Source organism: Homo sapiens, chromosome 1, assembly GCF_000001405.40.
Source record: "Homo sapiens chromosome 1, GRCh38.p14 Primary Assembly".
Classification (NCBI taxonomy): domain Eukaryota; kingdom Metazoa; phylum Chordata; class Mammalia; order Primates; family Hominidae; genus Homo; species Homo sapiens.
Genome location: NC_000001.11, coordinates 37,401,847 through 37,414,723, shown reverse-complemented (window position 1 = coordinate 37,414,723; position 12,877 = coordinate 37,401,847). Strand labels below are relative to the sequence as shown.

General features: G+C 47.3%; 2 annotated features.

Moving 5' to 3' along the window:
• Positions 3,094 to 3,594: an enhancer, noted in NCBI's record as "H3K4me1 hESC enhancer chr1:37876731-37877231 (GRCh37/hg19 assembly coordinates)". NCBI's record gives its function as "activates a minimal SCP1, AML or CMV promoter by ChIP-STARR-seq in primed H9 embryonic stem cells {active_cell/tissue: H9 hESC(primed)}" and the evidence as "EXISTENCE:reporter gene assay evidence [ECO:0000049][PMID:30033119]".
• Positions 3,595 to 4,095: an enhancer, noted in NCBI's record as "H3K4me1 hESC enhancer chr1:37876230-37876730 (GRCh37/hg19 assembly coordinates)". NCBI's record gives its function as "activates a minimal SCP1, AML or CMV promoter by ChIP-STARR-seq in primed H9 embryonic stem cells {active_cell/tissue: H9 hESC(primed)}" and the evidence as "EXISTENCE:reporter gene assay evidence [ECO:0000049][PMID:30033119]".

Sequence of the window (12,877 nt, the reverse complement as noted above, 5' to 3'; positions counted from 1 at the left end):
CTCCCAGGAACCCCAAAGGCTTTCTTAGGACCAGCTGAAATGGAGTCAGGGAGTCAACAGTTCAATAGGATACTTCCCTTCAGATTCATGACACCCCCCAGCTTGAACCTATGTAGTTTCTCTGCTTCTTCCATCTGATTGGAAGGTTCTCCAAGACAGGGGTTGTACTTCTTCCCATCAGACTGGCCACTTTGTCACTCAGGGATCCATGTCTGTTTCACTGAATAAAGGCTCCAAATGCCGCTGCTGGTGTTTTATTCATGACAAGCCCTCATGGATGTGCGTGTGTGCATGTATGTGTATTGCAGTGTAGCCCAGACAGTGTGTCAGGAATGCAGCATGCCAGCAGGGATGTAACTTAGGTAGTGGTTAAAAGAGACTCTGGGCCGGGCATGGTAGCCTACACCTGTAATCCCAGTGCTTTGGGAGGCCGAAGTGGGAGGATCATTTGAGCATAGCAGTTTGAGACCAGCCTGGGAAACATAATGGGACTCCATCTCTACAAAAAATTAAAAAGTTAGCTGGGCATGGTGGCATGCACCTGTGGTCCCAGCTACTCAGGCTGAGGTGGGCCTGGGAGGTTGAGGCTGTAGTAAGCCATGATTGCACCACTACACTTTGACCTGGGCAACAGAGTGAGACCCTGTCTAAAAAAAAAAAAAAAAAAAAAAAAAAAGAGTGGTTCCAGACTGCCTGGGTTCAATTCTCAGCTCTACCTTTTACTAGCCAGAATGACCTTGGACAAGTTACTTGCCCTCTTTGTGCCTCAGCTTCCTCATTCTATAAATGGGGAAAATAATAGTACCTATTCATAGATCTCTTGTGAGATTTAAATGAGTTAATATATTAACTAATTTTAGTGTTTATTAAAGTTAAAAAAAGTTCCTTAGTCCCATTAGCTACATATAAAGTGCTCAATACCCACATGTGGGCAGTGACTAGAGTCTTAGAGCAGATAAAGAATATCTCCATCATGGCAGAAAGTTCTATTGCACAGTGCTGCTGTAGACCTTTGGTGTGGAATGGGTTGAACTCCAAGGAGGTCCCACACTTCTCTAGATTTGGGTATGGATGCACCTGTGCTTTCCCCAAATTCTTATTCAGTGTGTTGCACAAACTCCTCTCCTGTTGGCAGAAAGAGCCCAGCTCTGTGCCACCTCTTGTCACGTTTCCTGCACCTGATGCCCAGGTCTGGAGCCCCAGTTGCTGTTGTACCAGATGGCCCAGGAGTTATTAATGAGAGACTGTGTGTGTGTTCCTGTGCTGGATCTGTGTGCTGTGATCATCATTTTGGGGCTTTCCTTGGGGAAGTAACAAATGGCATCCCTGCCCAGGAGTCCTCTGGCAGGGACCATCTCATAAATCAGTGTGAAAGGCTCCTAGTCCCTGTGGAGTCATCCCACAGCCCCACAGCTAAGTGACCCAAAGACTCTGTGGCTGCCATGGCTTCACTTCCTACCACTGCCTCCCCAGATGTCTGGGCCTCTTGGGTACTGGACTGCCTTGACTGTCAGCAGCCCCAGGCCCCAGTCCTGGTTCTACCATTAACCAGTGGCCTGACCTTGGAGGAGTCTCCTTTTCTCTCTAGGCCCCAACTTTCTCATCTGTAAAGTGGAAGAAGGGAAGGACCACTACATGATCTCTGTAATGCAGAACGGTGACAGTGAGAGCTGCCTCACATGAGGGTGATACCTGCCCCTGAGAAGTGTAGTATCTGGGATCCATAATCAGTGCAAACTTCCAGCCCAGAGAAAAGACCACAGGCCTGAGAGTCCAGGGCAGCATGGACCACCTGTTTTGGAATCACTTTCTTAAAAATCCAGATTTGTGGGCCCCACTGTGGATCTGCTGACTCGGGATCTCTGTGGATGATGACTGCATTTTCATTGCATTGCCCCAGTAATTCTTGTGCATTGTAATGTTTGAGAACCTTTGGCCTAAGGGCAAGTACTGCATCTCCAGTGCCCTTGCTTCTGGGGAGGGAAGGGCTGAGCACATCACTGGGTGGAGGGTTGAGGGGAGAGACTGGATGGGGGAGGGGTGGTGAGGAAAGCTGTGTCTTCAAGGGGGGCCTAGTCCAAAGCCACATTCCAGCCAGTTTGGCAAACTGGGGTCAGGTCTGGCTCAGAACAGAGCACAAGCCGGTAGGTCTGATCTGAGGGGAAAAGTGGGAGCAGAGGCCTTCTTTTGAGGTGGGGTTGCTTCTCTGGGTTTTTGGAAACAAGATCTGGCCCTGATGGGGTGGGCTGCAGTAAGTGGGCAAGAGGGAGGTTGGTTAGTGTAATGGTCAAAATGCACAGTTTTGGGAGCTACACAGCATTTGGTTCAGGTCCGGGCTAGGTAGCATCTTAGCAGTGTGGCCTTAGGCAGGCCACTTAACCTCATCTGTGGAATGGTGACAGTGACATCCACCTCACTGGATTAAATAAGACAACATGCGGAGAAGCCCCAGGCACATTGAAATACTTACATGTTCTTCTGTTTCCCCAGCCAGCCTCCTGCATCCCCCTTGGCAAGGATCAGAGTAACATGGAGACCTGGGTAGGATTTAGATAGTAATGATAACTGCCCCTTGCACCACATTCTAGAACTTACCAAGTACTTTCCTGTCCTTTATCTCATGATAGTATGGGGCAACACTGATGGGAAAACTGAGGTTGAGAGAAATTCAGTGAGTTGCTCAAAGTCACTCACTGGGACATAGGAAAGGGGAGGGGTATACTTCTGCCCTGAGACCCACTGTGCCAACTGATTGCTGCTGGTGACAAAGCCTTCTGTGTTAGCCCATTTTGCATTACTATAAAGGAATACTGGAGACTGGGTAATTTATAAAGAAAACAGGTTTGTTTGGCTCACAGTTCTGCAAGCTGTACAAGAAGTGTAGTGCCAGCATCTGCTTTTGGTGAGGCCTCAAGAATCTTCCAATCATGGCAGAAGGCAGAGGGGGAGCTGGCATGTCACATGGCGAAAGAGGGAGCAAGTGAGGGGGGAGATGCTATCTCTTTTAAACAGCCAGCTCTCTCATGAATGAATAGACTGAGAACTTACTCATTACTATGGGGACAGCACCAAGCTATTTATTAGGGAACTGCCCCCATGACCCAAACACCTCCCACTAGGCCCACCTCCAACACTGGAGGTCATATTTCAACATGAGATTTGGAGGGGACAAAACATCCAAACCGTGTCTCCTCCCAAACCCCTTAAAGACAGAATTTGTGAGCCCACGTGTGGTGGGGTGGAGCAATAAGGAGACTCCCAGGGAATTTCTGCTTGGTCTGGGCTCCTATTTAGCTAGCTGATGTGTAGGCAAGGATTTCTGGACTGGGAAGCTGTTCTCTACCATTCTGTTTAGGGTGCACTGGTCAGGGTGGGTGTGGAGGGGTGGCTCTGTTTCTCCTGCATCTGACCTTTTGGCCTGGCCTCTTGGGTGCCCAGCCAAGGCCCAGTGCCCCTCCCTGTGGCTGATTCACCACCTCCAGCTGTGTTTTTGGGAAATGAATGGAGAATCAGGCTGCCAGGCTGGGAAGGACTGGGGCAAATAGACCACACATGTAGGTAGCAGTTAGCATAACTGGCCGCATGGTTCTGGGCAGGCAGCTGGCAGAGGTGTTAGGCCAGGGCAATCATGAATTGGGGCAGGCTGGGGGGAGTCCTGGTCAGGTAGGAAGTGAAGCTGGGCAGGCAGCTGGCTCTGCAGTTGGCTGAGGTCGGAGAGGACATAGTGTGGGCTGACAGCTGGTGTGGAGGATGGAGGCGGTCAGGAACCAGCCTCAGGGAAAGGCTCCAGCACCACGGACAGCTCTGGGGAGGCGTCCTTCTGTTGTTCAGATCCCGCCGCAGTTTGAGACCTTTACCTGAGAGTCACTTAAGCCCCTATATTTCTGTAGTTGTTCAAGAGCCTTTGCACACCTCCTTCTTAGCGTGGTCTTTAAGAAGTCACTCTAACAGCTCTCCAGCTCTGTTTCCAGAGGAATGCCCATGACTTTGACCTATTTGGGGTTTCCCTGAGGGGTTCACATCTTTCAAGAGTCCAGTTTGTTGGTGGGTGATCCTGTCATTCTCTGGGGTGCACATATTTTAGGGCCAGGGCCTAGCCAGGGACCCAATCTTGATTGTAAGTAGGCCAGCGAAGTCTGACCTGGGTTGGGGGAGGGATTCCCTGCTTCCCCTCAGCCCAGTCATGGTCCCCACCTCCATCATGTCCCCAGTGCCCTGTACACATGAATCTCTCCCAGCTCCTCTTTTTCCTCTCCTTTTGCTTGTGACTGCTTGAGTGAATCAGGGCTGAAGATCAGAAGTCCCCAGTCAAGGAGCTTTCCCCACTAATGAGCTCTCCGAGGGCCTCTGACAGCCCCTCCCTTTGCCCCGCCCCACCCTGTTCATTTATTTATAACACAGGGCACCATCCCCCACATCGCCAGAGAAGAAAGGGCCAATCAGCTTGCAGTGCTGCCAATCAACGTGAGAACGGGGGAGGGCAGAAGAGGATGACTCAGAGAACTCGCGTGGGGGCAAAGTGAGAAGTACTATAGGCTCTATAATTTATCTCAGCATATTTTCATCTAGCCCAAGCCTCTCACATTGCAGATGAGGTGTCTGAGGCCCAGAGCAGTAAAGTGACTTCTTAAATCCACACAGCCAGTGATGACCAAGCCAAGAACTGGAACCTGGGTGTGTTGATTCCCAGTCCAGCACGATTTCCACTACAGAACGTCTTTAGAATGCATTTGTCTTGAAGACTGAAGTGAGGTCTGTGTTTCAATTGACAGCTTGGTATTTTTCTGTCTGTCAACACTTTGATAAATTTAGAAGAAATGGACTTATGTTGGCACATCTGCGAACTAGCGAAAAGATCAAGATTGTCACTGTGATGGTATCTTCACTCTACCACGTTGGAACAAAATAGCAGGTGACATGAACATTTTCAAGGTGACATGGTGTCTTTAAGTTGTAACAGATTCTAACATAATTTGACTTGTGGGTAGAAGTTACGATGGGTATGCCTGTATTGAGTTGACCTGTAGATCAGAGTCACTATTCCTTACATAAGGTGCATAGCTTTTCCCACTATTGACAAGACACCTGGAGGAGGTGGAGAAGTCAGTCTGTGCTTTGAGGGGTTATCATTGTCATTTATAATGATGGATAGAGAGGCATTTGGTGGTTAGTGTTCTAGTTGGACATAGGCCAGGAGAAGCAGAATATGGCACAGTCTATATAAGCCTGACATCCTAGGCCTTCAAAATCTCCTTTTCCATCCATGGATGCATTTCTCTTTCACCATCAAACACTGGAGGACTGGAGATACCCAACTGTCCTAGGCATGAAGAGTCTACTGGGGCTATTTGAAGATGATATTGATCCAATTTCCTGTACTAATTTTTTCCCCCTACACAATCCCAAAGGCCAAAGGGTAGGAGCCTTGGGGGCTTCCTCTGGGGGTTTATCTGATGGATTAGTGCCCATGATCCTGGCAGGAATTGAGGAGGGTGCAGAAGGGGCCTGAGTTCAGCAGCCTGAGTGCTGGAGTACAGACCACTTGAGTGGAGAGGACTTAGAGGGTGGTTTTTTCTTACACTGTTTCCTTACATCTGAGAGCAGAACTGACTTTCCCCAGCAAGATTAAGCCCATTGAAATCTTCCTCCTGAACTCAGGCTTTCCTACTGGACACCCCCATGCAGACGTCCACATCATGTCTCAAAATCAGCTCATTTTCCTCTAACCTTGCTCTTACCCCCGTGAACCAAAACAAACAAACAAACAAACAAACAATAACACCAGTCAACCAAACAAACAAAAAACAATCACTCTTGTCCAGGCCTGGTTCAGTACCCCGGATGGATTTGTCTAAGGTGCCATGGGTGAGCCACTGTCACCTTAGAAGATGACATTGAAGCCCCCATTTCTCACTTTTAGCTTTCAGCCCCCTTGCTACCCTCTGTATCCCTTTGCCTTTTATCTAGATTCTCCATGTATTTTTTTAAGTTTCTTTGACTTATTGCCTAGTGCTTATGATGTGTCAGGTACTATTTAAGTGCTGTAGATGTATCAATTCATTTAATCTTCATAGTAGCTCTATGAAGCAGGAACTATTATCTCTATTTTACAGATGAGAAAACTGAGACAGAGGTTAAATATTTTGCCTAGGATCATACACTAAATAAGCAAAGTCTGCAAACTCTGTTCTCTGAGCACTATACTACATTGCCTCCCAAATGCCAAACCCATGAGGCATTTGGTTTAGTTTTTTTTTTTTTAGTTTCTGCCTTTCAGATGGATGACCTTGGCTTGCCCAGCCACCTGCCCACCCACCCATCCATCCATTCATCCATTCATCTATCCATTCAGCTACCCAGTTCTTCATTCAACAAGTATTTATTGAATATATCTACTCTGTGCCCAAGATTCTGCCAGGTGACAGTAGAAGCAAAATCAGACACAGTCCTTGCTGTCCTAGAGCTGAGAGACTTATGGGGCAGACAGATAATACATTAACACACCAATGAGTGTGTATTTATAAGTAGACATAGGTGCTCTGAAGGACAGGGTTGCAGCGCCTTTGCATCACAGCTAAGGCTGCCAACCCAGGCCATGCATCCCATTTCCCAACTTTTTTTTTTTTTTTAATGACAAGGTCTCTCTCTGTCACTGAGGCTGGGGTGCAATGGTGTGATATAGCTCACTATAACTTCAAACCCCTGGGCGCAGGCAATCCTCTGGCTTCAGCCTCCCAAGTAGCTGGTACTACACATGTGTGCCACCATGCCCAGCTCATTTTAAAACTTTTTATAGAGATGAGGTCATGCTATGTTGCTCAGGCTGGTCTCCTGGCCTCAAGTGATCCTCCCGACTTGGCCTCCCAAAGTGTTGGGATTACAGGCATGAGCCACTGCATCCAGCCCTATTTTCCAATCATGACCCACATCTCTGAACTTTCATCAGATACAATTTCCTAAGCCTAATAGTTTTCAGGAGTTTCCACCAGTCCAGGATCCCAATGTAATGTCCAAAGTGTCTTCCTTACCTGCCACAGTTTCCTTGGGATGAATAGTGTCTTCAGGTGTGGCCAATCCTAGCTCTTCTCCCAGCTCAAGGGAGGTAAAGTTTTATTGCCACAAACCTCCTTGGTTATTTGATCATAGATAGCATTGTTTTCCACTTGGAGCAGTGGTAGAAGCTTTTTTTTTTTTTTTGGCACGAATCTCTTTGAGAGATTACCAAAAACTAAGAACATTCTTTGCAGAAAAAATGCCTTCCTGGATTCCCAAGCTAGTCAAAAGTAGCCCCAAGTTTGCATCCCAGATTTTAGGACACTTTTTCTTTTTCTTTTTGGAGTCAGAGTCTCACTCTGTCACCTAGTCTGGAGTGCAGTGGTGCGATCTTTAGCTCACTGCAGCCTCAACCTCCTGGGCTCAAGCGATCTTCCTGCCTCAGCCTCCTGAATAGCTGGGACCACAGGTTTGTACTACTATGCCTGGCTAATTAAAAAAAAATTTTTTTTTATAGCGACAGGATCTTGCCATGTTGCCCAGGCTAGTCTTGAACTCCTGGACTCAAGTGGTCTGGAGGACACTTTTTAAGGCTAAGTGGATTGTGCTGGCTGCATAATCAGGTGACACCCCTGGAAGTTCACCTCCTGTTGAGATACAGGTGCTTCACCTCCCTCACCTTAGCAGAATTCACTAGTGTTACTTCATCTTGAGTGGTGATTAAAATCATTTATTGTGGGGCAGGGATCTGTTTGAGAGACTGACAAAAATGCACATACTAAGAACAACTTGTGCATGATTTTGAGGGGTTTACAGACCTCCTGTAGCTTATCCATGGATCCTAGGTAAAGAATTTCCAACCTGAGTTTTTCTGGCTTCTACCTCTTGACACAACTTCTGTACCCTTGGGCAGTATCCATGCTCAAGTAGCTGGTCAGTGTCTGGCGCATTGCGTGGGTTTCCCAGGAGGGTCTCTAAGATACCATTCAGGATGCCAGGGACCAGTCATGCAAGGGCCAGCACTGATTCTCAGAGATGGAGATGCCTACTGGTGCTCCTATAGACTAGCTGCAGGTCCACATAACATGGCTGTCAGCTTCATGTCTTCCAGCATAGCTGCTCATCTCCTGTGTGCATCTGCTGCTCTCTGTTAACTGGGCTGATTGAGAGACACCCAAGACTAATCTCACTAATTCTCAGCAGGCAGTCTGAGTATGCAGTACAGGGAAAGCAAGCATGAGATACATGTACTACCCCTCCTGACCCAGCACCCACGACACTCTGCTAATCAATCACAGCGTTCATCCCCACTGGGCCCAGATATGGTCTTATAATCCTTCTCAAATGGTAATTTAGGTAGACACCACCAATCCATCAGAGTTGGCATGTAGGATGAAATATATTTGCCATCCTAGCTGCAGGTGATATGGGTTGGGCTCTAGACTCATCCCTTGCCGGTCTCAGATCCCACATCCTAGCTGGCCTAGAATGCCAGGCCTCTCTGTTGGTCTTGGAGAATCCTCAGACACCATCCATCTGGTTAGCCAAGATGTACCCCTGAGGGTGATCCTAGGTCTCCTTCTTTATTCCCCCATACTAATTTGCCCATTCTTCAGCTAAAATGTCTGCAGCATCTTTGTTCTCATCCCAGGCTCACTTTAGGGATCCCAGATCAGACCCTCATTACCTCTAGTCTGGAACTGCCAAGAGTCTCTCTTTTTTTTTTCTATTTATTTATTTATTATTATACTTTAAGTTTTAGGGTACATGTGCACAATGTGCAAGTTAGTTACATATGTATACATGTGCCATGCTGGTGCGCTGCACCCAGTAACTCGTCATCTAGCATTAGGTATATCTCCCAATGCTATCCCTCCCCCGTCCCCCCACCCCACAACAGTCCCCAGAGTGTGATGTTCCCCTTCCTGTGTCCATGTGTTCTCATTGTTCAATTCCCACTATGAGTGAGAATATGCGGTGTTTGGTTTTTTGTTCTTGCGATAGTTTACTGAGAATGATTTCCAATTTCATCTTAACTATTTCTTGTCTCCATTCTTACAACCCTTCTAATCCATGCACTATACTTCCTCAAACATACAATGCACATATTACACCCCTTTTTGAAATCCTTCAGTCCTTTAAAAGAGGAAATCCATATATAGATGAAAACCATGGCATAGATAGCCATTTGCAGTCTGGCCCTGACTTCTTTTCCAGTTTCACTCCTTACCATTCCCCTGTGCTCTAACAAGATCTTGCAATGCACCATTTCCTGATATTCCAGACTTTCCCAGGCAATCTTGTCCTGGTGCATGCTATTTCTTCTGTCTAGAATGCCTCATCTACTTCCCTCTCCCAGCCTTTTTCTCTGCCTAGTGGACTCTTCTTTCAATACCTTTCTCAAACGTTGTCTGCTCTGTGAAGTTCTATCTGTTCCATGTTGGGTTTGGAATTTCCACTGCCCCTTCCCTCACTCCACCAGCTTCCTGTGCATGTCTGTATCCTGAAATCTTTAACTCTGTTTTGCTCTGTCTAGTAATTACCTGTTTACTTGTGCAACAGTGTTCCATGCATCCCTGCATCTTAGCACCCAACCTAAGACAAATCACAAAGCAGGGAACTTGCTGACATGCACTGTGTGTAACTTGCAGTGGGTGAAGACCTCCAGCCCCCTCTCCCTACCCTAAGGCAGCATTTGCTCTATCATCATATCTTGCCAAGTGAAAGCAGCCTTCACCTTTTAAACGATGGCTTTTCTCCTCCCCACAGAAAGGGTTCCTCATTGAAATTCACCAGGAATGGGCAGTTTCTGACAGAGTCTCTTGGCTGGCCCGTGATATAGCTGCCAACACCCAGCACTCCTGGAAGCAGAAGGGCTTTTGTTCATAAGCCGCAAGCATACATTTTACCACTTCCCGAGATCCCAGGGGAAAAATAATCCTTCCCCTTTTTCCATTGGCCTCTCCAAGGCCCCTCTGGCTTCCCTTTTCTTGGCTGGGAAAATGAAGGGTCTGGGGGGGCCCCCAGTGATGGTGGAAATGGGGGTTTGTGAGAGGCCTGTTCAAAGTTGGGGTTGGGGAAAGAGCTGGTGGACTGGGAGGGGTTGGGGACTTCAATTTAGACCAGGGGACCCCAACCTACTGGTCCATGGCCTATTAGGAACAAGGCCACACAGCAGGAGGTAAATGGTGGGCAAGTGAGCGTTACTTGCCTGAGCTCCACCTCCTGTCAGATCAGTGGTGGCAGTATGTTCTCATAGAAACACAAACCCTATTGTGAACTGTACATGTGAGGGATCTAGGTTGCACGCTCCTTATGAGAATCTAATGCCTGACAATCTGAGGTGGAACAGTTTCATCCCGAAACCATCATTCCCACCCCAAGTCCATGGAAAAATTGTCTTCCACAAAACCAGTCCCTGGTGCCAAAATGGTTGGAGACCACTGATTTAGATGGAGCTCATGCAGGGCAGGAGACTCATCTGCATTATTTGACATAGACAATGGGCTCCTGGGTGAGCCTAAGTGGTCTGCCGGATTATGGTAAGATGGTGCTTTTGGAGATAATAACAATAACATTACTAAAAATGATATATCATCCACATAACCCTGACTCTGAATGCTTTTCAGAGTGCTGCTGCTCTGAATGCTTTCAATGTATTAACTCCTTTAGGTCCTTAGTGCCAACCTTTGTAGTAGGTTTTAGTATTATCCCCCTCTTACAGATGAGAAAGTGAAGGCCACAGAGAGATTACCGTGTGCTAATCTTTCTTAGGGTAAATGGGGAAACTGAGGCTGACACCACTGGAGGGAGGTCATGGATGAGACTGTATTGTGAGCATAGGAAGAAGAGGAGTGTTGGAAACCTTGGCAGCCTGGCTGTAGCTTTGAGAAAGTCACTTCTGTAAACCTGTGTTTTCTACTATGCAGTAGGGTAATTATGCCTTCTTGGAAGACTTAACATAAGGATTGGATGAACTCATATAAGTAAAATGCCCAGCACATTAAAGATAATCAATAAACCATAGTTGCCATTATTAATCACCTAATTGCTCCCTCCTTTGTGCCCTTACTGTTTCATACACTTCTCTTCTAGAAGCTTATTAGACTATTTTAACTGTCTTGCTGGTATTCTCTGAACATGTCTGTCTTGCTGGTATTCTCTGAGCCTCTCTCAAAGGCAAGACCAGCTCTTATCTACCTCTGGGCTCTCTAGCTGGCAGATGGAGGTTTCATATGAGAAAATAGGCCTGGAAAGAAAGGCATTTGCCCAAGTGGACAAGCTGGGAAGTGTCAGGACCCAGGTCCTGCTGCAAGATGCTGCGCAGACTATTTCCTGATCCACGATCAGTGGGGCAGGAGGTGGAGGATCCCATTCCAGGGCCTGCGAATGCCTGGGTGGGAAGCCCCAGGTCCTTGGCACCTTCCAGAGGGGAAAATGGGAATGACAGTCAATGAGCCCTGTTAGGCCCAGGGAGGAGAAGGCTGATAGAGGCTGGATGAGACAGGGCTTAGTGAATGATCAGATGTGAGAGGGAGGGAGAGGGAGGAGTCGAGTTTGACTGCCAGGTTGCCTTGGAATACAGGACACAGATACAGGAGTTTGTGGAGTGGAGGAGAAGATGATGAATTAGGTTTTGAAAATGCTCGGGGGAAACAGTTCATGGAGCAGGCCCTTAAGGGTCGCTAGCAGGCATTTGACTCTGAGGGGATGTGGGCAGGGCACCGACATCTGTCCCAACCTGTGATCCTATGACGTGGTACTGCACTGAGCTGGGTGAAGTATAGCACTGAAGTTGGATTGTAGGACTTAAATCCTGGCTCTACATTAACATACTATGTATGTGACTTTGAGCATGTTACTTAACCTCTCTGAGCCTTAGTTTTATTTTTCTGTAAACGAGGTGATTAGGAATTACCTCCTAGCATGTTATTGTGAAGGCCAAATGAGATAAAATGGGTCAATGATGGTGCCACAGTAAGAGTTCAATATGTAATGTCCATTATTATTATTATTATTGACAGTGTCTTGCCCTGTTGCCCAGGCTGGAGTGCAGTGGTGTGATATCGACTCACTGCAGCTGCAACCTCCCGGGTTCAAGTGATCCTCCCACCTCCGCCTCCTGAGTAGCTGGGACTATGGGCACCTGCCACCATGCCTGGCTAATTTTTCATATTTTTTATAGAGATGGGGTTTTACTGTGTTGCCCAGGCTTGTCTTGAACTCCTGGGCTCAAGCAATCCACCTGCCTCGGCCTCTCAAAATGCTAGGATTACAGGTGTGAGCCACCATGGCTGGCCAATTTTTTTTTTGATTTTTAGTAGAGATGAGGTCTTGCTATGTTGCCCAGGCTTGTCTTGAACTCCTGAGCTCAAGCAATCCTCCTGCCTTGGCCTCCCAAAGTGCTGACATTATAGGTGTGAGCCACCACACCTGGCAGTGTTCATTACTGTTATTAGCTGCTTCTGCTGCCAGAATGCTGACTTTCTCGCCATTGGCACCCTTTTCCATTTCAATCTCTCCTATCCCACCAGCACTAGGTACCCAGAGGCCCATAATAGGTGCTCTCAACCTCTTCATCTTTCAGAGACTCTTGTCCTTAAAACGTTGCCTCTGGCCCTTTTGGGCAACTGACCAAGGAGGAGCAGAGAGTTGTTATTGTCCTCTTTCAATGAGATGTCACTTCAGTTTTAACTGTGCCTTCATGCCTTGACCCACAGGTGTGACTAATGGTGGGAATGAAGCTATTTCAGGGGCAGAGGGGTCTTTTTGGTGCTGGTCAGACAAACATATCCAGAAGTTATGTTATCTACTATGCCTTCGTGTGTGGACACTGATGATGAGTATAAAACTCAGACTAAGAGAAGATCTGGAACTTCTCACT